Source organism: Homo sapiens, chromosome 11 (assembly GCF_000001405.40).
Source record: "Homo sapiens chromosome 11, GRCh38.p14 Primary Assembly".
Taxonomy (NCBI): domain Eukaryota; kingdom Metazoa; phylum Chordata; class Mammalia; order Primates; family Hominidae; genus Homo; species Homo sapiens.
The window spans coordinates 32630610-32657438 of NC_000011.10; the positions used below are offsets into that span (position 1 = coordinate 32630610).

Consider the following 26829-nt stretch of genomic DNA (forward strand, 5'->3'; position numbering starts at 1 on the left):
TGGGATTACAGGCATCAGCCACTGCACCCAGCTGTTTTTGTAAATATAATTTTACTGGTACATAACCATGCCCACTTCTGAATGTACTTAATGCCACTGAACTATACACATAAAAATGGTTAAAATAGCAAACAATATGTACATTTTACTACAGTAACAAAATACAATCAACAGTTCTCAAAAAAAAGAGAACATTAAAGATTTCCTCATGTTATAATTCAACATAAGAAAAGGAAATATGACTACTCCCATAAAAAAGTAACAAGATGAAAAAGATATATAATACAAATGTTAATCAAAAGATGAAATAGCTATATTATTATCAGACAAAACACACCTTAAGACAAGAGATATTACTAGGATAAATATGGATATTTCATAATGATAAAAAGGTCAATCAGGAAATCAGAACAATAAATGTGTCATAACAATCATAAATCATATAGCTAATAACAGGACTTACAAACACATGAAGCAAAACCTGACTGAACTGAAAAGAGGAAGATAAGTTCACAGTTATGATTAAAGATTTCAACATTCTTCTCCCACTAATTGATAGAACACAGACACAGATACACACACAATCTGTAAGGATAGAGAAGACTTGGACAATACCAACCAACTTTATCTAATTGCCATTTATAAAACATTCCACCAACCAACAGCAGAACACACATTCTCTTCAACAGCACATGAAATATTCACCAAGATAGATAATACACTTGGCCAAAAAATAGGTCTTAGTACATTTAAAAGGATTAAAGTCTTACCTAGAATGTTCCCTGACCAAAACCAAATTAAATTCGAAATCATTAATAGGAAGATATTTGGAATTTTCTCAAATGTTTGGAAATTAAACAACATATTTCCAATGGGTGATACTCAATACCCATGGGTCAGAGGAGACACCACAAGAAAAATCCTAAAATATTTTGAGCCTGGGCAACATGGTGAAACCTCATCAGGAAAGGAAGGAAAGGAAGGAAAGGAAGGAAAGGAAGGGAAGGGAAGGGAAGGGACGGGAAAGGAAAGGAAAGGAAAGGAAGGAAAGGAAGGAAGGAAAGGAAGAAAAGGAAGAAAGGAAGCAGCAAGCTAGCTGGTGTGGTGGTGTGCACCCATAGTCAGGCTGAGGTGGGAGGATTGCTTGAGCCTGGCAGATTGAGGCTGCAGTGAGGTGTGATCACACCACTCACTACACTCCAGCCTGGGTGACAGAGCAAGACCCTGTCTCTCTTTCAATAGACATATAGGCAGGCAGGCAGGCAGATAGACAGACAGACACAGAGATATATACATGGGATTTTGCTATGTTGTCCATGCTCAAAAATTTTAAGATTTCTCTTGTGAGGTTCTCTCTGACCCATGGATATGGGTATGAGTATGACCCACTGGAAATATGTTGTTAAATTTCCAAACATTTGAGAATTTTCCAAATATATTTCTGTTAGTGACTTCAAATTTAATTTAGGTGTGGTCAGGGAACATTCTAGGTAAGACTTTAACCCTTTTAAATGTACTAAGACTTATTTTTTGTGTATATTGCCTATCTTGGTGAATATTTCATGTGCTGCTGAAGAGAATGTGTGTTCTGCTGTTGGTTGGTGGAAGGTTTATTTTTGTTGTTTGTTTTCTTTGAGACGGAGTCTCACTCTGTAGCCCAAGCTGGGGTGCAGTGGTGCCATCTTGCCTCACTGCAACCTCTGCCTCCAAGGCTCAAGCAATTCTCGTGACTCGGCCTCTCAAGTAGCTGGAACTACAGGCGCGTGCCACCATGCCCGGATAATTTTTCCTATTTTAATAGAGGCGGGCTTTTGCCATGTTGCCCAGGGTGGTCTTGAACTCCTGAGCTCAGGTGATCCACTCGCCTCAGCCTCCCAAAGTGCTGGGATTACAGGTGTGAGCCACCGTGCCCGGCCGGTTGGTGGAATGTTTTATAAATGTCAATTAGGCCAAGTTAGTTGGTATTGTCCAAGTCTTCTGTATCCTTACAGATTGTGTGTGTGTGTGTGTATGTGTGTATAATTGTTCTATCAATTAGTGGGAGAAGAATGTTAAAATCTTTCATTATAACTGTGAATTTATCTTTCTCTTTTCAGTTCTGTCAGTTTTTGCTTCATGTTTATATGTGTGTGTGTATGTTGTGTATACTTTACTAAAATATATATATATAGTTTTTTTAACCGAATGAAAATGAAAAAACTACATATCATAGTTTGTGGGATGGAACCAAAGCAGTGCTAAGAGGAAATGTTATAGCTTTAAGTGCTTATATTAGAAAAGAAGAAAGGTAAATAATCTATGTTTCAAGCTTAAGCAGCTAGAAGAAAACCAAATTAAACCCAAAGTAAGCAGAGTAAAGGAAATAAGAAAATTAATAGCAAAAATCCATGAAATAGCAAATAAATAAACATGGGAGAGAAATGAATGAAATCAAAACCTGTTTTTTGTTTGTTATTTTTTCCTGAGACGGAGTCTCACTCTGTTGCCAGGCTGGAGTGCAGTGGCACGATCTCGGCTCACTGCAATCTCTGCCTCCCAGGTTCAAGGGATTCCCCTGCCTCAGCCTCCCGAGTAAGCCACTGCACCTGGCCCAAAACCTGGTTCTTTGAAAAGATCAATAAAACTGAAAACTTCTAACTCAAATGATCAAGACAAACAGAGAGCGAGAGAGAGAAGATACAAATTACAAATATCAAGAATGACAGAGGGGCATCAATTTGATCCTAGAGGACTATAATAATAAGAGAATATTATGAGCAACCCTAGCCAATAAATTTGACAACTTATGAAAAGGACAAGTTCTTTGAAAGATAAAAATTACCCCAACTGGCTCTTTTGGGGTCCCACAACACCCCAAATCAGATTCATTAGGAGGACTCATAGGACTCAATATATACCCATACACATGACTAAGATGTATTATAGAGAAATAATACGAAGAAAAATAGGTAAAGGAAAAGGCACATGAGTTGCAGTCTGGAGTAAACCAGACTTCCAAAGGTCATCTTCTAATAGAGTCACATAAGACAAGCTTAACTCCTACAGCATTGAATTGTGACAACTTATGTGAATTGCTGTCTACCAGGGAAGCTCATTAGAGACTCAGCACCCAAAGTTTTTTGGGGGAGGGTGCTGTTCATGCAGGTACCCTCTATGTAGCATGTGCCAAAATTCTAGAATCCCAGAAAGAAAGCAGTTGTTCAGAATAAACCACATTGTTTGTACTAATAGTTTAGGTACAGTGAGCCACTCTTGTTAGGAAATGGTGAGAATCCTCCCAAAATTCAAGTTTCCAGGCATCAGCCAGGGGCCAACTTTGCTAGGAGGTCTTTCTAAGTACAGCATTCACAGGGGTGCTATGTTAACTCTTTCCTGCACACCAACATAAGAAGAAATGAGAATCTGAATAGCCCTGTAAATAATTTAAATACTGAATTTGTTATTTAAAATATTCCCACCAAGAAAGTCTACATAGCTCCACTGGTGAATTAGACCTAACATTCAATAAAGAAATCATACCAACTCTATACATTGAAAGGAATATATTCCAACTGAGTTTACTTGACCAGTATTACTCTTGACGCAAAAACCAGTTCAAATATTGCAAAGAAAAAACAAACAAAACTTACATTCCTCATCAATACAAAATCCTTAACAAAGCACTAGCAATTTAAGTCCAGCCATATATAAAAAGGATAATATATAATGATCAACTCAAGTTTATCCCAGGAATGCAGGTTAACATCTGGAAGTCAACTGATGTAATTAATATGAAAAGAATAAAAAAAACCCAATCATCTTAATAGACACAGAAAAAAGCATTTGACAAAATTTAATGTCCTTTCATGATAAAAACTCATTTGTGATAAAAGCTCAGCAAACCAGATATGAAAGGAAACGTTCTCAAACTGATAAAGAGTATAAACAAAAACATATAGCTAAAATGATAAGAAATGGTGAAAGACTAGTCTCCATTTAAGATGAGAAACAAGGCAAGCATGCCCACTCTCACAATTGTTATTCAACATTAGATTAGAGGGTCCTAGCTAGTGCATAAATTGAGAAAAAGAAAAAGCATACAGCATTTTAGAAAGAAAGTAAAACTGTCTTAAACTTGCAGACAACATGATCATATATTATAGAAACCCCCAAAGTTCAACGAAAACAACTATTATAACAATAACTTAATTTAAAAATGAGGTCAATATACAAAAACCAATTGTACTTCTAAGCTGGGCATGGCAGTTCATCCCTGTAATCCCAGCTACTCAGAAGCCTGAAGTGGGAGCATCACTTGAGCCCAGGAGTTCATGTACAGCCTGGACAACATAGTAAGACCTTGTCTTGAAAAAAATGTACTTCTATATATAAGCAAAGAACAATTATAAAAATTGTAAGCACTGTTTACATTAGGATCCCAAGACATAAAATATCCAGGAATAAATTTAACCTAAAATTTCCAAGACCTATATGATAAAAACTACAAAACATTTCTGAGAGACATTTTAAAATATCCAAATAAATGGAAGCTATACCATGTTCATCGACTGGAAGACTCAATGCCAAATAAAACCCACAGACTTTTAAAACAGAAATTGAGACATTGATTCTAAAAGTGATAAGAAAATATAGGACTTAGAATAGAAAAAGCTTTTTTGGAAAAAGAACAATATTGAAGGACTTAGCTACGTTTTATAGCTTCTTTAAAAGCTACATTAATAAAGACAGTGTTGTACTGGCTTAAGTATAGACATATAATCAATGGATCATAATAAAGAGTCCAGAAATAGACCCATATATATTTGATCAACTGATTTTCAAAGAAAGTACTAAGGTACAGTGGGAGAGAAAATAGTGTTTTCGACAAATATTTGTGCTGGGACAATTGGAAATTCATATAAAAAAATGACCTTCAATTCTTATGTCATACTGTATACAAAAATTAACTAAAAATGTATTAGAGACCATATGCATATACTCATTTTTTTAAAGTTGAGAAACTTAAAGTATAAAACAGGGAAAAAAATCATAGTGACAGTCTTAATTTCTTTGATAGTTTGTACCCCACAACATACTTAAATTTTACCTGAAACTTTTTGTCTTCCTCAAATGTTTTTTGATTGCATAATTTGTTATAATGTTCTTGTAACTTAATATGAGTTTCTTTAAGGGATGATAATTCATTTTTAATCTTATTAATTTCTCCATTAAGTTCTTCAGCCTATTATAAAAAAGGAACCAGAATAAACAAGTATATCAAGTATATAAATATGTTTTGTCTGAAAATATTTCATTAACAAAAGTTTCAGGAAATAGTCAAAGAATCAAAACAATCACAAAGTCATTACTAATATTAAGAGCTACCATTTATTGAATTGGGCTGACTACTTAATAAGCATAACTGCATACTCAGCAAAACCCTATGAGGTATTATTATGCCCAATTTACAGGTAAGAAATACGAGGCTCACAGAAGTTAAGTAACTTGTCCCAGATCAAGTAGATACAAAATGGCAGTGAGGATTTAATTCCAAAGCTAAATCTGAGGACCGTGTCCTTAATGACAATATTAAACTACCTCTTGTCTCATAAAAAAATTTATTTAAATTCATAAAAAACAAAAAATTAAATTCATAAATAAGAATTTATGAATTTTATATTCTACAAACATTATACTTCCATTGTTTTCTTAAAGTTTAATTTTCTTGTTACAAATTGCACATACAGATTTGAATTCCACTAGATGAGTACTAAGCACTAAGTGGTACCACAGAAACTGACATGTCAGCCGTATATTTATATCCATAAATTAGACTTTCACTCCCTATAAAATTTCATAAACTTGATTTTGGGGAAAGGAGTACTCTCACAGAAGCCTCAAATATGAGCCAAGGTAAGTTCCACTGAGGCGAAAAATATCCTTTTGTCATGGAAAAGTATATTTGTGGTTTTATAAAAGTTTAAAAGTTTCTTATAAAAGTTTCTCTTGAACAATTTTAAAACTCCTACCACAAATTCCACTAGTGCTTGTAATATTCCTTATTATAAATACTATAATTACTATTCCTAATATTTTTATAATTAATATTCCTCTATAAAGCCCTATATAGAGGCCAGTAGGTGTAAACTCATGTTACTTTCTGTTCATTTCATCTATTTTTAATCATCTTTAAATCTATCTCTGCAAGGTATTTCTTTTCCAAGGCTAAACTCTCCATGTGTTCTTCATTCCTTCCTCTCCTATCTTCCTAAGTCCTAATTCTAGGAATTTTCTCTTTTCTTCTTCCTATTCTCAATCTCTCACACTACACCAGCATCTTCTCGTCAGCCTACAAATATGCTTTACACACATTCCTAATATTTTTCCTCCTTGACCCAGTTCCTCTGTCTGTTTCACTTTTTCTTTTTCTTTTTTTTTTTTTTTTTTTTGAGAAGGAGTCTCACTCTGTTGCCCAGGCTGGAGTGCAGTGGCGTGATCTTGGCTCACTGCAACCTCCGCCTCCTGGATTCAAGCGAGTCTTCTGCCTCAGCCTCCCGAACAGCTGGGCTTACAGGCTTGCACCACCACGCCCAGCTAATTTTTGTGTTTTTAGAGAGTTTCACTATGTTGGCCAGGCTGGTCTCGAACCCCTGACCTTGTGATCCGCCCACCTCGGCCTCCCAAAGTGCTGGGATTACAGGCATGAGTCACTGAGCCTGGCCCTGTCTTTCTCATTTCTTAAAGTCTATACTTGCTACTTTCAAATTCTAACCTCCCATCACTCCTTAATACCCTGACTTCTGCCCTCATTGTTCTACTGTTTTCTCAAATATCACCTGCAAATTAGCAAAAGGATTTTTTCCAAGTCTCACATCATTTAATAGCTCTGTAGCATTTGACCATGTTGACTACTCTGTTCTTGAAACAGCTTCCTTTCTTGACTTCCATGCTAGTACTCTCTCTTTATCCTCCTACCTGTCTTACCAGCTCCCTCTCCCCTCCTGCCCCCAAACACACACACACACATACACATACACACACCCCTCTCCTCTCTCTCTCTTACACACACACACACCCCACTCACAAAATATTGGCTTTTCCCAAGGTTCTTTCTTCTTTTTTCTTGCTTCCTGGGATAAGAAACCCAAGGTTCTTTCTTCTTAAGCACTCTTCCTTCAAGTGTTCCACTCTTTCCACATTATTTCACCTATAACTTCAAATTTCACCTTTATGCTAATAAATCTTAAATCTATATCTCCTCCCCAACCTCTCTCCTAGGAGTAGATTAACATCTCCAAATGGATAGTATGCACTTCAAGCTAGATGTCCTAAAAGCACCATAAATTCTACAGTTCTCAAATTAAACTCATTATTTTCATCCACAAAATCTGCTTCTCCTTTCACATTCCTTAAGCTAGTTAATGATATTATCATTCTATGAGTTATACCAACCTGAGACTATTTGATGTCTTTTCCCCTCCCAATATCCATTATATATAAAATGTCACTAACCATACCAAGTCTACTTCCAAAATTCATCCTGCATCTATCCCTCTTCATTGTGGTACTGTCCTAATTCACAGACTCATAGGTTCATGATTAGATTATTACAACATTCTTCTTATTGATTTCTTTCCATACAGCCATCCTCCATACTGTTGCAAGAATTATTTTTCTAAAACACAATCTGCCTGTGTCACTTATTTGTTTTAAACCCTTCAATGGCTTCCCATTACTTAAATTCTAATCTCCTAGTAAGGAAGTCTTCAAAAGCTGATCTCAACCTATATTCCAATGTCACATTTCACACATCCCATTTTTAAATCAGAGCAGACTATTCATGGTCCTTGAAAATGGACTTTCATGCCTCCATGATTGTTCTATTTCTTTTATTTTTTATTTTTATTTTTTGAGACAGAGTCTTGTTCTCTCGCCAGGCTGGAGCACAGTGGCGATCTTGGCTCACTGCAACCTCTGACTCCCAGGTTCAAGCAATTCTCCTGCCTCAGCCTCCCGAGTAGCTGGAATTACAGGCATGTGCCACCATGCCTGGCTAATTTTTGTATTGTTAGTAGAGACGGGGTTTCACCGTGTTGGCCAGGATGGTCTTGATCTCCTGACCTCGTGATCCGCCCACCTCAGCCTCCCAAAGTGCTGGTATTACAGGCATGAGCCACCGTGCCCAGCCGATTGTTCTATTGTTTTTTAAATGAAATGCCAACAGGATGGAATGGGAAGGGTGGAGATGGGAACCTTATGCTTAAACCTCATTTCATCAGCCAGGCACAGTGGCTCACGCCTGTAATCCTAGCACCTTGATAGGCCAAGGCAGGTGGGTTGCCTGAGCTCAGGAGTTCGAGACCAGCCTGGGCAACACAGTGAAACCCCATCTCTACTAAAGTACAAAAAGTTAGCCGGGCATGGTGGCCTGCGCCTGTAGTCCCAGCTACTCGGGAGGCTGAGGCAGGAGAATTGCTTGAACCCGGGAGGTGGAGGTTGCAGTGAGCCGAGATCGCACCACTGTACTCCAGCCTGGGCAACAGAGCGAGACTCCATCTTCCCCGACACCCCCCCCAAAAAATCCTATTCCATCTTTTGAAGCCAAATTCTAGGGTCATCTTTTCTCTAAAACTTTCTCCAGCCCAGCTAAAGAAAATGATTTATTTTGTGCTTTCATAGTACTTTGTTAATAATGCTAAAAAGTACCTTGCACTATTGTGATTAATTCCATAGTTATCTGTCCCTGCAGAGTGTAAGCTCTTTTGATAATCCTTGTATTTTAGGCATCTTTGAAAACCCAGTGCCTAGAATAGTGTCTAACACATAGTATATGCTCAATAAGTGTTGTGAATTGAATTCTTTTTTTTCCTTTTTTTTTTGAGATGGAGTCTCACTCTGTTGCCTAGGCTGGAGTGCAGTGGTGCGATCTCGGCTCACTGCAACCTCCACCTCCTGGGTTCAAGCAATTCTCTGCCTCAGCCTCCCAAGCAGCTGGGATTACAGGTGCCCACCACCACGCCCGGCTAATTTTTGTATTTTTAATAGAGACAGGGTTTCACCATCCTGGCCAGGTTTGTCTTGAACTCCTGACCTCAGGTGATCCACCTGCCTTGGCCTCCCAAAGTGCTGGGATTACAGGCATGAGCCACCACACCCGGCCAAATTGAATTCTTTTTGTGACCTCCCTTTCCCTAATTTCTGAACATTTTCACTTATTGTTTTTTTGTCTATATAACAACCATTGGTTATATATCTAGTCAAAATAAAAAGATATACATAACATTGTTATTTTTAATATTTCAATGAATTTTAAATATACTATCTAATAATATGCAAGTTTTATTAGCATAGTATTTTCTTTCACTGTTTATTTTTTTGAATGACCAAATATGAAACAGCAGTTTACATGATTCCAATTTATTTTTATCAGTATCTTTGTTTTTTTAACCTATCTTGATCCAATCTCAGTAGCCACACTACTATTGCCCTTCACTCAAGAATGGTGAAAAACTTACAGATAGAAATACAATTAAAAAGTAAATGTGATCTCCCACTGAAGAAAACTCTTATCGAACCAAGGCAGCTTTTTCTTACTTATCTATATTCTGTTGAGTACCAAATCATAATGGAAGCAAAATGATTGCAGAACTTAAAAATTCTAAGATAAAACCGACTTTATCCACATTTATAGATTGAGGCCTCACCAGTGAAACTGCTTATTTTTCTTAATAGTTTTCTTTTTTTTCTTGAGAGAGGAGCATGGTTGTAGTCTCAGAGAAAATGAATGTTTAATTTTCTTAGCTAAACTGATCTTTTTGGTTTTTTTTGCAAGTTTGGCATATTTAAGTTTATATTTCCTTTTCACTTAAACAGTTTTCCTTATCCTGATAGCACCATTTCCATGGGCTTTTAAACACTGGGGATGAAAAGAAGGTACATGGATAAAATGTAGATTAACTGATGCTAAAATGAACATTACTATGCTTGTTGCCTAATGATAAACTGTACTAGTATACCATTTAACGATTTTTTAGTATTCTGATAAAATTAAATACAAAACTTTTCTTAGATTTAAGTAAACCTTAGCAAAACCATCAGTGAAGACTTGATGTCTCCAAACTATAAATTAAGAAAACATGTTAGTTCCGGCTGGGCGATGTGGCTCACGCCTGTAATCCCAGCACTTTGGAAGGCTAAGGCAGGCGGATCGCAAGGTCAGAAGATCGAGACCATCCTGGCTAACACAGTGAAACCCTGTCTCTACTAAAAATACAAAAAATTAGCCGGGCGTGGTGGCGGGTGCCTGTAGTCCCAGCTACTCAGGAGGCGAGGCAGGAGAATGGTGTGAACCCAGGAGGCAGAGCTTGCAGTGAGCAGAGATCCGTCCACGGCACTCTAGCCTGGGGGACAGAGTGAGACTCTGTCCCCCACCAAAAAAAAAGAAAAGAAAAGAAAAGAAAACATGTTAGTTTCAAGTGAATCAAATCAAGAGTTACTTATGTAATAATTTGAATCAAACAAAATAATCTACAGAAAATATTATCAAGCTGGTATTTAGATATCCATTACTATAATATATTGCATAGTATAATTAGCACAATAGTCTAAAACATAATCATACCTTCCCAAAATATAGCTTCATAAACTCATAGTGACTTTCTACTCTGTCATTTATTTAAAAAGAATTTAAAATGCAATTAAAATTGATATTAGCATAGAATAATCAATCTTGGGGTCCACCAATGTTTAAAGTGAACCTTTATATTTCACAACTTGATTTCACCTCATCTTACACTATTATCTACCTTGCTGAATTAAAAATTATTATAAAATAAAAAAATATGATTTAAGGAAACAGCCATGTTTAGAATACAACAACCCTTATGATATGTTGTTAATATGATAAAATGGTAATACTACAGAAGTCAACTACTGCACACATGTTCTAAACATGGCTCTAATATATCTCAACAAAACTGCTGAGGAAAGCAAAATAGATCAGTTAATAATAGTACATATATAATTATTTTAATCATTTACTAAAATACTATGCAATGGTTTTATGAAAAAGTAAATTAATTTTTCTTTGTCACATGGGGGCTCAAATTATATATATATATGTGTGTGTATATATATATATATGCATGCATATATACACAAACATGTATTTGTGTGGTCTTCCATGCATAAAAGCATTACAGGGAATTTCATTAAATTTAGCTTTTAAAAAGCATTCACCTTTTTGGAAATATGAGACCAAGAAAAAAATGTGTCTGATTTTAGTCCTCTAATATTTTTGCAATATTTTCTTAGCATTTATAGTTATTTTAAATGTCTAAAACTATTTAAAATATTTTAATATTTTTCTATTTAATAAACTTACATGTCTTTTCCAAGTTCCTAGTGCTTTTTCATGCTCATTTTGAAGATTAAGAAACTTTTCTTCATTTTCTTTTACCTTCTCCCTTTGCAGCTCATTATCTCTTTCAAGGGTCTGCAATAAAATTAATTATCCAAAAAATAATCAATACCACATTAATGAATTCTGATGTGTTTTATGTTGCTTGGACCTTTGCTTCTAACATGCTGAAAGTGCCATACAGATCAGTGATAATGTGCTATCTCAACAATAATTTTCATAAATTAATGGAAAGGTGCTTATAGTTTAGCTAACAGAAAATAGGGGGAGGTTTTGATAAAGAAATGGCTATAAAAGAGTATAAAAACATTGCCATTATTCAGTTTCACTGCATAAGTTTTAATGTGCTGAAAAGGTAATATAAAGTACAGCACTGAAAAGTATGAAATGTAGCACGATCCAGCCTAACTCTACTAAAGAAATTTAACTACCATAGAACATTTTTTCCATTATCTGTTTATTTTAGAAATTAACTGGCTAGAAAACTCTTAAATACAATTTTAATTTTAATTTCAAATTAACACTTTTTAAGTATAACTTAAATATTTACCATATTAACTTAATTACTTCATTGAACTAACATAACAGAATCACTACCACACTCTCCCTCCCACAAAATAAACTTATAGAGTAAAAATACTACCATGTGTTTTCTAAGACTAGGTTTTTAAAGCTATTAAATCAGTGTCATCAATATTATTAGGTTTTTCCAATGTCTGCTGATAATCCAAGTAAATTTCTATAAAAAGATAAACAGTGATAGAACTCCTACCTACATGCCTAATACATTTGGAATCTTTAAGTTGTTTACAAAGCTATGCACATTCAGGTTAAAAATGTCAAGCCACACAAAAGGATTTTTTTTTTTAAAAAAAGTAAAGTTATTCTCTCAGTTTTCCACCCCAGAAGTAACCACTGTAGCAGTTTCTTGTATATCTTTCCAGAAATTGTCTATATAACCATAAAAGTACGTAAAATATATATATATTTTTAAATACAGATGAGACCATATCATACACTGTTCTGTCATCTGCTTTTCTTTAAAAAAAAAAGTTTTGCTTACTTTCCATATTACATATATAAATCCATCTCATTTGAATTCCATATTATTCATAGTACTCCATCTATTTAGAGAATTCTCAATTACATCTAGAATATCAGTATGCAAAGATAAATTATGTAAAATTATGGCAACATATCTAATACGAATTTTACAATTTTAACATGGAGATTCTCCTCTTGCTCATAAGAAGCTATGCATTTTAAGAGTACCCAGTGAATATCTATTTTGATTGCCTCTGTTTCAGGATAACATAGATATTTTTATAAAAGTAACAGGTCCTTAATTTATAGGTATATACAGTCATGTGTTGGTTATAGACAGGGATATGTTCTGATAATTCCATCATTAGGTGATTTTTGTCACTGTATGAACATCATAGAGTGTACTTACACAAACCTAGATGGTATAGCCTACTAATGGTATACGTAGACTATATAGTATAGCTTATTGCTCCTATGCTACAAACCTGTACAGCATCTTTCTGCACTGACTAGTGTAGGCAATTGTAACACAATAGTATTTTTATAACTAAGGATATCTAAACATAGAAAAGGTACAGTAAAAATGAAAAGGTACAGTAAAAAAATAAAAGATTAAAAATGGTACACATGTAACTATATAAGGTACTTACCATGAACGTTGCTCTGGGTGAGTCAGTGAGGGAGTGGTCAGTGAATGTGAAGGTCTAGGACATTATTACTCACCAATATAGGCTTTATAAATGCTGTATACTTAGGCTACACTAAATTTTTTTAATTTTTTCTTTCTTCAATAATAAATCAAGCTTAGTTGACTTTACAAACTTTTTTTTAACTTTTTGACTCTTTTGAAATAACACTTAGCTTAAAACACACAGATTGTACAGCTGTATAAAAATATTTTCTTTCTTTATATCCTTATTCTATAAGCTTTCTATTTTTAAATTTTTATATTTTTCCTTTTTAAATTTTTTGGTCAAAAACTGAGACACATCATCACAGCACTATTCACAATAGCAAAGGCACAGAATCAACATAAATGCTCATCAACAGTAGACTGAAGAAAGAAAATGTGGTACATATACACCATGGAATACTACACAGCCATAAAAAGAGTGAGATCATGTCCTTTGCAGCAACATGGATGGAGCTGGAGGCCATTATCCTAAGAAAACTAACACAGGAACAGAAAACCAAATACCACATGTTCTCACTTATAAGTGGGAGCTAAACATTGAGCACATATAGACACAAAGAAGGGAACAATGGACACCAGGGCCTACTGAGGGTGGAGGGAGATCAAAAAACTACCAATCAGGTACTATACTTATTACCTGGGTGATGAAATACTCTGTACACCAAACCTATGTGAGACTCAATTTACCTATGTAACAAACCTGCACATGTACCTCTGAACCTAAAAGTTAAAAATACATATATGTAACATAAAATTTACCATTTTAACCATTTTTAGGTGTATAATTCAGTGGCACTGAGTATATTCACAATGTTGTACAACTATCACCACTATCCATGTTCAGAACTTTTTCATTATCTCAAATAGAAATTCTGAATCCATTAAACAGGAGCTCCCATTTCCCCTCCCCAGTTGTTCATTTTAACAAATACATATGTTCATGTAACTCCCAGAAGATATAGAGAACAGTTTTATTACTTCCAAAAGTTCCCTTGGGCCACTTTGCAGCACCCCTATTCTTCACTGACCATCAATAATCTGTTTTCTGTCTCTCTAATTGTGGCTTTTGTAGAATGCCCTATAAATGGAATCACGGAACAACACTGTATGTAGCCTTTTGAGTCTGGCTTCATCTACTTAGCAAAATGCATTTGAGATTCATCCATTTTGTTGTGTGAATCAGTAGTTGGTTCTCTTTTACCGCTGAGTAATCTGTTGTATGGATGCACCATAGTTTGTTTACACATTGACCTCTGGGTTGAACATTTATGCTATTTCTAGTTTTTAATGAATATTAATAAAGCCACTGTAAATATTATAAAAAAAACTAACACACAAACACACACATTAGCCTAGGCCTACACAGAGTCAGGATTATCCATATTATGTCTTCCACCTCCACATATTTTCCCTCTGGAAAATCTTCAGGGACAGTAATACCCACAGAACTGTCATTTCCTATCATAATACTCCCTTTTCTGGAATACTTCCTGAAGGACCTGCCTGAGGCTGTTTCACAGTTAACTTTTTTTTCTTTTTCTTTTTCTTTTTTTTTTTTTTTTTTGAGACAAAGTCTTGCTCTGTTGCCCAGGCTGGGCTGCAATGGCGCGATCTCGGCTCACTGCAACCTCCATCTCCCAGGTTCAAGCGATTCTCCGGCCTCAGCCCCCTGAGTAGCTGGGATTACAGGTGCATACCACCACACTGGCTAATTTTTGTATTTTTAGTAGAGACGGGGTTTCACCATGTTGGTCAAGCTGGTTTTGAACTCCGGACCTCGTGATCCGCCCGCCTTGGCCTCCCAAAGTGCTGGGATTACAGGCATGAGCCACCACGCCTGGCCAACTTTTTTTTTTAATAAATAGGAGGAGTAAACTAAAATGATGATAAGTAGTATAGTATAATAAATACATAAACTGGTAACAGTCATTATTATCAAGTATTATGTACTACATATAATTGTATGTACTACACTTTTATATGACAGTGCAGCAGGTTTGTTTATACTAGCATTACCAACAAACGTGTGAGTAATGTGTTGTGCTATGACAATATGATGGCTATGATACTAGCAGATGATAGGAATTTTTACCTCCATTATAATCTTATGGGACCACCATCTTACACGTGGTCTGTCACTGACAAAACATTGTTATGTGGTGCATAACTATAAAACAGAGTAGTTTCTAAATATTTATAGTGTGTATAATAGATGCTTAGTACTTTAACATTCTAACAAATTTTTTTATTGATAACATACTGTATTTTAGAAGATAAACAAATAAAACTTTAGAGAAGATATGGGAGAATAAACCACAGTCTCTATCCTAGTAATAATAATTGGCCAAGAACATCATGCTCTTAAAACAGTGCACTAGCAATATCAATCATTTCTTGTCTGCACCCAATAACTCTATCTAAAGGAAACTACCTACTTCAGGTATTCTCTCGATTTCAGTTTTTTGGAGACATCCATCCTTTCATTACAATTTTGACCTACTTCTCTCTGTCAGCTATACAAATTAGGTTATCTCTGAGGATACCCTTTTTCAGTTCTGTCATGAGTCTCCTGTTTCCCAGATCCCATAGTTTCCTGTCTTGGTTTACTCCCTTGTCTTGGTAGCACAAACATTCTACTACTTCTTGATAAAGGAGGCATAGGGTGGTAAATTTTTTGAGACCCTATATGTCTGAAGATGTCTTGATTCTACCAATACTCGGCAATTTGTTTGGCTAAATACAATACAACTCTGCTTCAGAAATCAATTTTTTCCCAACATCTGAAGGCATGGTTCTATTGTCTTCTACGTTCCAGTGTTGCCACTGAGAAGTCTGAAACCTTGTGTTACCACTCTCATTCTTAATCCCTGTATATTACCTACTTTCTTGTACAATTTTAGAATCTTTTCTTTATGTGTTGTACAAAATTTCATAATGATATGCATTGGTATTGGGCAAGATAAACTTACATCTGTCAGGCCTGGATGACTTTTTTGTATTAATTCTTTGGTCATTTCCTCTCCCTCTATTTTCTCTCTTCTCTCTCTGACACTCACCAGACATCTTGAACTGACCCCCCAATTTCCTTTCCTGTTTTCCATCTTTTTGTCTTTTGGTTCTACTTTTTAGAAGACAGTATTATCTTCCAACCTTTCCTTTGTACTTTTTATGTCTGCTAATATATTTATCTAAAGGGCTCTCGTTTATTCTCTGAGTTTCTTTATAAACTCAAAATTCTTGTTTTGTAGATTAACATATTCCCTTTAACTAAACATACTTTCTTAGTTTCTACAAGGTTTTTTCATTATCCTATTTGTTTTGTCTGTTTTTCATATTGGAGGCTGTATTAGGTTGTTCTTGCATTGTTAAAGAAATACCTGAGACTGGGTAATTTATAAGAAAAGAAGTTTAATTGGCCCATGGTTCTGCAGGCTGTACAGGAAGCATAGCACTGGCATCTGCTTCTGGTGAGGCCTAAGGAAGCTTTTACTCATGGTGGAAGGTGAAGTGGGAGCTTGCACATCACATGGTGAAAGCAGGAGCAAGAGCAAGGCAGGCAGGTGCCACACACTTTTAAACAACCAGATCTCGTGAAAACGAGATCATTCACTATCTTGAGGACAGCACCAAGCCATAAGGAATCTGCCCCCGTGACGCACACACCTCCCACCAGGTCCCACCTCCAACATTGGGGTTTACATCTCAACATGAGATTTGGGTGGATAAATATCTAAACCATATCAGAGGCTTTCTTCAAATGTCCAGTAATCCTTAACTACCTATTCATATTTAAAAATGAGGTATTAAAATGCTGGCTGAAAGTTTTGTCAAATGGTAGGTTTCACTGTGGATTGATCTGGCTGAGCTATTTCACTGGGAAAGCTTAACTGTAGCAGCTATAGTCTTTTCTCTCGGGCAGGTTAGCTTCCCCTGAAAGGAATCTTCCATTTTTCTGCCAGAGAGTTAGGCTAGTTGCCCTCTCAATGAGGATACTGGGCTGGAAGGTCTCACCATTTAGAATTCAGACTTCCAACCTCTTGTCAATATCATACTCGTAGTAGTAAACTGATAAACTAGCTCTCAAAAAAAAAAAAAAAGCCTGATTTGAGGCATTTGCCATTTTCATTCATGTTAAATATTCACATCATAGTTAATTTCAAACTACCATTGGTTTAACAACCAGTTCACAAAATTCCTTAATATCTAACAACCAGCCCCCACTGGCAAAAGCTGGCTCCAGCAAACCACTAGATCCCCTTCCCCCCAAACCTCAGCTGTTCCTCAGATTCTCCAACAGAAACCTCCAATCTTCTGCAAAGTAGGAGAGGAGCACTGTCTACTTGGGCAGGGTGGGAAAGAAAATATGGGATTGCAATGGCTTCTTATATAGATTTAGTTTCTGCCTTCAGCTGCATACTGTACTTCTAGAGGCACATGATACTTGCAAATCCTGACCATTTCTGCACCTTTGATTTCGTTTCTACTTCTTCTCTTGTGCTAAGTAAATTACCATTGTCCATCTGGTTCCCACTTTTTAGTACTATTACTGTTTCCTCCCCATTTCCTTGTCCTTGTGGATATATTAGTGTCATTTTATTGCAGTTTCAAAAATATGTAATGTGGGGTTAAACATGCTTAACTAGAAGTCCTGACCAGGCAATATCTAAACTTAGAAAGACTATGAGTTTATTCATGTTCATCTTTCAGTCATTAAGAAAATTTAATGAGCTGCTATGATGTGCCAGACACTGTTTTAGCTTTTTATGCTACATCAGTGGAAATGTTGCTGTCCTTAAAGAGTTTATACTCTTTTTTTTTTTTTTGAGACGGAGTTTCACTCTTGTTGCCCAGGCTGGAGTGCAGTGGTGCAATCTCAGCTCACTGCAACCTCTGCCTCCCAGGTTCAAGCAATTCCTCTGCCTCAGGCTCCCGAGTAGCTGGGATTACAGGCATGTGCCATGACACCCATCTAATTTTGTATTTTTAGTAGAGGTGGGGTTTCACCATGTTGGTCAGGCTGGTCTCGAATTCCTGACCTCAGGTGATCCACCCACCTCGGCCTCCCAAAGCGCTGGGACCACAGGCGTGAGCCACTGTGCCAGGCCATGGAGTTTATATTCTAACAGGGATTGTTTCCTGGCCTTTTGGCTAAGATTAAGTATAGTATATTCTATTAGGAAATTATTTGGGGTATTTTTGCATCTGGATAACAGAGAGAGCTGATCTAGCAATTTTGTTAGATCAGCTACACTAAGACCACAACTCTTAACTTGCCCCTTCATGAGCTCTAAGTCCAGTACTTATGTACCATTGAATTCTACAGCGCCTATGGTAGTCATAAATATGTAGTTATGTGTTTTCTGAGTTAATGGTGACTGTAAATATAATTCCAGGATCTTTTGACTATGACTACCAATAACTTAGATAATCCAAATGCCTCTCTCTTTTGAAAACCATCTCTGAAAAAAATTGATATTGTGAAAGTTCACAATGAAGCCATTTGCTAATGCTTTAATCTTCCAAAAACTAACTAAATGACCCTAGTTAATACTATGAAAAAATACTATGAAAAAAACTAAATATATTATTCTTGTTAATACTATGACTACAGGAACATAACTATGCTTATAACTGGACTAAACTATAATTAAATCACAATAGAAAATATTTCCTATCATGAGAATTTAGCTTTCTATGCTCTAAATTTTACTACTAGAAAAGTAAGACAGATGACAGCATGATTGCAGAGCACTGAAAAACAGTTGGCCATTATCAAGAGTAATGATCCCTTTTAGTACAGGTAGAATGAGAATGCTCCTCAAGAAAACACCTGAGATATCTATGCAACATAATCCTCAGCAACAGTTCAACATTAATATTTTGTTATGCTATATTTCAGTGGTTCTCAGATACCAGTCTGCAGACAAGTACTGATCCATGACAAAACATTCACTAGTCCATGGCAAAAAATGTCAATATAAGGTCATCAAATGTCTTTTCTTATAAAGGACTATCCTTTATCCTGAGATTATGTCCTTAATATATGTTTGATGTTAAAATGTTCTCTTTCATAAAATGATAGTAATGATAGATTGTATTGTTTGCATTTTTAATATCTTTACTTACCAAAATAAAAAGCTGACAATTCTGTTTTTGACAATACTTTAAAATTTTAGTTTTATAAAATCTAGCTTCTCTATATACTATCAAGGTTCAGGTAATACTTGTGGCAGTTAAAAAGAAAGGCATTTGAGAGAAAAAGAGAGAAGCATTTGATTATCTAATGATTGGTAGTCACAGTCAAAATATCCTGGAATTATATTTATAGTCACCATTAACTCAGAGAAACACGTAACTGTATATAGGCTCTGTAGAATTCAGCAGTATGTAAGTACTGGATTTAGAGCTCATGAAGGGGCAAGTTAAGAGTTATGATCTTAGTATAACTGATCTAACAAAATTGCTAGATAAGCTGTCATAGATCTAGGAAAAATATCTTAACAGTATGTTATAGAAATAGTGCTGGATTAGAATCACGACAGATTTAATCCTAATTTTGTCACTAATTTTGAGGCTTTGAACCACACTGTGTACATTTCCTGGGTCTCTCTTTTCATTAAATGAAATGGTTGGATTAGATGATCTTTAATATTGTGTTTGGCCTAAAAATCTATGTTTCAGCTCATTTATTTGGATTAGAAGATGCTCTTGGTAACAGCTATTCATAAAGAACCTAGTTAAATTATATCATATGTTGCTTGGGAGAAGGTTCAACATATTAGAGAAATAGTTCCAATTATCTAACTATAGAGTGGGCAGGGGAGATGGGAGGTTAGTACTTGCTAACAGCTGGACTTTCAGAGAAACTTTTTTTGCTAGTCTTATATCAGAATAGGTGAAGGGATTAAAAGAAGGGAGAGGTCTGACATTAGGATACCACCTCTCCCTCCCTCTTCTATAGTATTTGGGACACGTAAGAGAAATAAGGAAGGCAAAACTTTCGTTACATGATAAGCCATAGAACATCAATGGTGAGGAGATATTAATAAATGTTGCATTGCTCAGGTTCAATTTGGTTCCATTCAATGATAGACTCTGCATAATTTGTTGGGCCTGGTACAAAATGAAAAACACAGGGAAAAAAGTGCTACTAAAGGTACTAAAATATACAACTTTTTCTTTTCTTTGCAGACCCTCCCTCTCTTTCAATTTGTCATGGTGCTTTTTATTTTCTATTTAATATCATGATCCCCTAGGCTTGGGGATACTTACCAGGCAAACACAGACCCTCATAAGGTGCCTAAGGGCCTCATCACACAACTCAGCATGAGTGAGAGCCACCAGCTACCAGGTTCCCTGTCCTGCCAGCTGCTAGACCCATCTACTATGTCCTGGACGTGGGTGGGGAAGAGAATCTTCCCTTCCCATGGGGCCTTCACCCCAACCCATGGCAAATGGGTGACTCTCAAGGGACTGCAACTGCCAGGAGGTATGCACTCAGTACCTGGACTGGGGATTCATCCTCCCTGCAGACCCCCACCAAGTCACCTGCCTAACACTTGAAGGCACTGCCAACCTGCAACAAAGACAACTGTTGTTATGTCTCACCCCAAAATACTGTGGGGTACATGCACACAACCTAGGCCCTCCCTGCCTGCACCTACACCCCAACAAAAGAGTAAAGGTCAACAGTAGAACACAGACCTTTCCCCCAAATGTGACCCAGTCAAACTGCACCAGTGGCAGGACGGGAACGAGGAGTAGGAGGCAAAGCAGGACGTAGGTCCCCAGAGGGCGGAAGAGCCAGCAGCCAAGAACCAGTCCTGGGAGGTAGTGGAAATACCTGAGCTGAGGATTCAAGCCCCTAGCACATGCTCCATTACCATTAGACTTCATTTACAGAATGTAAATTCAAAATAAAATCTTCAAGACAGTGACCATGAAACATTAAACCTGAAGCAGAAGGCCATTCTGAGTGTGGGTCCCTATGATGCCAGTGCACTGGTCACATACTCATGAAACTGGCCCTGGCCTTGACTGATGGTAGTTTTTATGTGGGAGGTAATTGTAGTTTTCTTGGGAAATGTTCAGCTTTACCCTGAACCCCTTTAGAAGGATAGAAGTATCTTCTACTGGCCACCCCAGTGGAACATATCCCCAACCCCTTTTCTGAATTGGACATCCCATCACTTGGCCCAGTGGCTTACAGGGCAGTTCCTGCTCCTCCACTAATCTCCATGGTTCCTTCATGTGAAGCCAAAGAACCACTAAGGTTTTTTAAGAATAATACACTTCAAGCTCCATTAGCACAGATTACTCTAAAAACTTTCCTTTTTGAAATTTGTAGACCAAAACTGGGCATCAGTTGATATGTTCTTGGTAAACTTCCAAACTTCAAGAAACATATGCCTAGCTGGCTGTGGTAGTGGGCACCTGTAATTCCAGCTACTCGGGAGGCTGAGGCAGGAGAATCGCTTGAACCCAGGAGGTGGAGGTTGCAGTGAGCCAAGATCATGCCACTGCACTCCAGCCTGGGTGACAGAACAAGACTCCATCTCAAACAAAAAAAAAAGAAAGAAAGAAAAACAAAACAAAACAAAACAAAAGAAAAGAAATACGTGCCAACCACTTCCACATGAACTTATCACATTTTACTTTACTGGTAACACTAGAGTGGACCTTCACCTTTCTACAGCATTTCAAGCATCTAGCCAGGGAACAAAAGGCAGTCTCCCCTTCTTGTATCTCAATCCCTACAAGAGATTTTCCTGTACATTTCTTCACTCAGCTTTATAAGGGGAAATGCGCCTGCCTCTGCTAGGGATGTAAGAGAAAAAGCCTCTTTTTTGAACCCTGCACTCCCAAATTATCAATGGCCAACAATGTCTTCTCCTTCCCAGTCATTTCCTTATATATACTGGAAAGAGGATGATGAGGTGTTTGTTGTGGTAACAGCGCCAATTTTATCATATTCCTGTGAAGAGAGATCTACCCCAAACTTCTGAGAGCTGGCTGAATGCTCTCTTAAACTGAGTTGACACTTTCACCTTTTATTTTCAGTGTTGGATTGTGACCACAATTCTAAGACAAAAAAAAAATCCTATTCATTCTGTTGTAACAGAGTGGATTTTTCATTTTGCAAAATTAAGTCAGATACTTGATAAAATTTAACATTTCACTAGTGACATAAATGTGAATAATATATGTTCATTACTTTAGACACTGAAAACAAGTTGAAGGAAGTCAATATCTTACCCCTAGAATTCAAAATAATCTCAATAAAACTGGACAGAAAAATAAACTAAACAGGAAGTTAATTAGTGAAAATATACTAAAACACAGATAGATAGACAGACAGACAGACAGATAGAACGAACCTGATTATTTTCTTTTAGCACCTTCAATTCTGCCTCCATTTCAGTATTAGCTTGAATTTGTTGCCGAAGTAACTGCTGCATATGTTGGAAAGAAATGATGATATCCTTTGAAAATACACAAATATATCAATTTAAAAGTTTTAAGATAGGTATGTTTCTAAAATCATTCTTCACATACATTTTCTAGTTTCCTAACTCACTGTATTTATAGTTTAATTTCAATACTTTATATTAAACTAATGGCACATCTAATGGTATCTAAAATTTCTATTACATTATTTCCAAGAGTCCCTCAAATAATTAACAAAGTTTTTTGGAATAAACTGTGGATTCTAAGACACATGTGAAGAATTCAAAACTAAAATAAAGATTTTTTGGCTTGCCACCTCCCAACAGTAAATATATCACTACTAAAATGTCATATGAGGTATAATATTATAAAATGTCATAATGGGCTAGGGTGTCATGGCATACATTCAGAGTCAAATGGAGGAAAAGCAGAAGAGAAAACAGAAACAGGAGGAATATTCTTTCACACATATTTTAAAAAATGAATAATTGTAAGCATCAAATAGACTCAAATGAGAGTATAATGTCCTGAAAAAGTATGCACTACACATAAATAAACTTCAATAATTATTTGTTAGGGTATCACTGGTCTAATCTATCAAGGAAAAAACTAAGGTATTTTTTAATGAAAGTATATTGAGACTGATTTTAAAAAGTATACACATGTACATTTAATACACATTAACTGAGTGCCTACTATGTGCTATGCATGATTCCACTTATTTTTTACATTTTATCTGATTTTTAGAATATTTACTGGCTTCCAAATAGCTTATGATTGCTTACCTGTTTTTCTTCTTGAATATGGGTAATCTCTTCATTAATCTTCTCATTTAATTCCAATTCCTTTAAAATTTGAATAGTTTTAAAGTTATGATATAAAATTCAGCAAATTCTACATTCAATTCAGTACTAAACAAATTTTGGAGTGTTATGACCTATTCCTACCCCCAGAGTACCCACATTTGTTTTTTTGTTTGTTTATTTGTATGTTTGTTTTGAGACTGTGTCTCGCTCTATCACCCAGTCTGGAGTGCAGTGGTGCGATCTTGGCTCACTGCAACCTCCACCTCTTGGGTTCAAGCGGATTCCATGCCTCATCCTCCCAAGTAGCTGGGATTACAGATGCCCACCATTACGCACAGCTAATTTTTGTATTTTTAGTGGAGACGAGGTTTCATCATGTTGGCCAAGCTGGTCTTGAACTCCTAACCTCAAGTGATCCACCCACCTCAGCCTCCTAAAGTGCTGGGATTACAGGCGTAAGCCACTGCACCTGGCCCAAAGTACCCACATTTGTTTGTGGTTTAAACAGTGACTTCAGTGAACTGAAGAAGATTTTATATACCAACAAAGCTTGGTGCAAACTTGTAAATGTTAAAAACTATAAACTCATCTCCAAAGCTGTCCTGGAGATACCACTGTACCACAAGATTACTCAAAACCATATTCAAGTAGAAATAAAATAGTTCTAGCCAAATCTTATTGTCCTAAAGTCTATGGCAAAAATTAATAAAAAAACAGATTAATAATACCTTTAACTATGCATATTGACTTTGCAAAGGCGGAGTATTTTTGTGTTACAATTCTGAAATTCTCATAAGTTTTATTGAAAATATTAATGTTATAAACAAATACATTTAATAAAATACCATGTTGAGTCTTTCTTGAAGTTCTTGAAATTTTTGTTCTTTAATTGTTAGATTGATGTTTTCTTCTCCCATCTTATATTGACATGTGACTTTGGACTTTATCAAGTCTGAGGCTGCTTTTTTTAGTTCCTTAATAAGAAACATATCAAACAGAAAATTCAGTACACATATTTCACTAAAACAAGGTACTTTCCTGACAGTTTCAAAGTTCATCCTTAAGCCTATAATTATAATTTGTTATAATTCCCTTGCAAGTTCCCTTGCAAGATTAGCCAAGGTGGGAACATAATCTGCGGTTGTGGATCAGGCAAAGTTAATCAATCATAAAGAGATTGACTGCATGACTTTTAATCTTAAAAGGAGTGTACTAACAAAATCAACTAACTAACCAGAAGTACAGTGTTTCCATTATTTATTAAACAAATACCTTCTGAGATAAAAAGATAACAAGGAAATCTCAATTCCCAAATTTATTAGCCTCTAATAGGAAAAATTATGTAAGAAATAATTACAATACAATGTAATGAGTGCTATATTAGAAAAATGAATAAAAAACATAAACTGTATCAAAACGGTATTACATGTGAAGGTGCTATTTGAACTGAATCTTTAAAGATCAATTTGCAAAGAAGACAACAAAGGGGTAGGCATTCCAGGCAAAAGGTTCTACATGCACAAAGCCACAGAAACATGAAAGAGAACGATATTTTTCAGGGAAACAGAACTAATAAGATATGACTGGAGCTAATGTGTTATTTCAGGGGACAGAGTAGAATATTGGTAGTTGTGTCTAGAAATTTGGCAGGATTCAAGTATTGAGAAGGACTTGTACGTTACGCTACAGAGTTTGAATGTTATACTATAAAACAAAATGGGGAATTAACCACTGAAGGATTCTGAGTAGAAGAATGACATAACAAAATTTGCATTTTAGAAAAATAACTCTGGCAGTGTTGTGGAGGGTGGAACTGAAGGATGTAAAAGCAGTCTTCATTTATGAAGTCACATGTTCATTGAGTTTAGCAGATACCAATTAAACACATTAAAATCTTGAAATACCAACTTTTGAATTAGTGTGCAATTGATTGTGCTGTTCTTCTGTGTATATTGACTATATTAAATACTCAAGAATCTGATTTTCGGTCTCGGCTACACAGTATCTGAACTCCCTTATAAAGTTAGTACCTGGCATCTTTGCTTCTCAGGTAGGCAGTGGGCAGTTTTTCTTTTCTTTTCTTTTCTTTTTTTTTTTGAGACGGCGTCTTGCTCTGTCGCCCAGACTGGAGTGCAGTGGCACGATCTCGGCTCACTGCAAGCTCCGCCTCCTGGGTTTGTGCCATTCTTCTGCCTCAGCCTCCCGAGCAGCTGGGACTACAGGCGCCCACCACCACGCCCGGCTAATTTTTTTTGTATTTTTAGTAGAGACGGGGTTTCACCATGTTAGCCAGGATGGTCTCGATCTCCTGACCTTCTGATCCGCCCGCCTCGGCCTCCCAAAGTGCTGGGATTACAGGCGTGAGCCACCGCGCCCGGCCAGTTTTTCTACATTATAAGAGCCGGCTGCCTACCAGAGAAGCAAAGATGCCAGGTACCAGCTTTATAAGCATGAGGCTAGGCTCTGCTAATCTCATGCACCTGTCTTGGATATTGGATTAGTTATCACAAAAAAACAAGGACTACTGCAAATCCATCTGTTGGTAGATAGTCAGGGAAGTGTAGTAACTTCAAGCTTCTATGGGTGAGTGATACCGCAGCAGCAGCATCAGCAGCATCCACTATGGTCAGCAATGATGGTATAAGCTGTGATATACAGTATTCAAAAGTGGAAGCTGGTTTTATGCTATAGTCTTGGATACTGCATAGCCTCCCTTGTTTGTAATCATTTTTCAAGTCCGAGATAACCAATGCCCTTCCAATAAATTCCTTTGCTGACTAAATCAGTGTGCAATTAAGAATCCTGACTACTTAATTTTTTTAAAGGTCTTAAGAACTGGATAAACAACAAACTTTTGACTCTTGTAGAAGTAAGTTGATTTATTAGAGTGGCAAGATTATAGGAAATTTTTATTTTCTTCATTATGTGATTAGTATTTTCTATTTTTCGTAAAATAAAAACATTTTTTGTAGTTTTAAAATCGTATTTAAGCTGTAAAAACAGGTACTATCACATAGAGAGTTATTAGAGGATAGAAAATGGAAAATGACTCAATCCTAAGAAAAATTCATAGATTAGAGAAGAAGCCAGTATATAAGGCTGAGAAATAAAGTCAACTGAGATAGGAGGAAACCCAAAAGGAAGCTGAAAGAGGAGCAGCAGAAAACAGGGCTACTAATACCTTCAAAGTTCTACATGTTACAGCTTTAGCCACCCAGGGAAAAACTCACCCAAGTATATCCTAACTCCAAATTCAAAATCCAGGAGAAAGGACTCATTGGTCTTAGTTCAAATATCACCTTTGGATATGTACACTGCATAAAATGACTGCTAAAGTAACCACGTGAGTCAAGAGATAGGGCTCTATTCTTAGAAAAGCAGGCAGACAAATTGATGTCTGGCATAAAGAGAACAATTAGTATATATCGAAGGAATGAACC

At 36.3% G+C, this 26829-nt stretch overlaps 1 protein-coding gene across 4 annotated transcripts in view; it reads right to left on the minus strand.

The window, feature by feature from the left end:
* Positions 1-26829, minus strand: part of CCDC73 (coiled-coil domain containing 73) — a 227865-nt gene that overhangs the window by 27889 nt on the left and 173147 nt on the right. For all 4 annotated transcript variants that reach the window (XM_047427029.1, NM_001008391.4, XM_047427030.1 and 1 more), the window contains 5 exons: positions 24235-24363; positions 23369-23428; positions 22514-22618; positions 11363-11473; positions 5087-5221 (listed from right to left, as the gene is read on the minus strand). In XM_047427029.1, coding sequence (XP_047282985.1) covers positions 5087-5221; positions 11363-11473; positions 22514-22618; positions 23369-23428; positions 24235-24363 — 540 coding nt within the window. The remainder of the gene's footprint in view (positions 1-5086; positions 5222-11362; positions 11474-22513; positions 22619-23368; positions 23429-24234; positions 24364-26829) is intronic.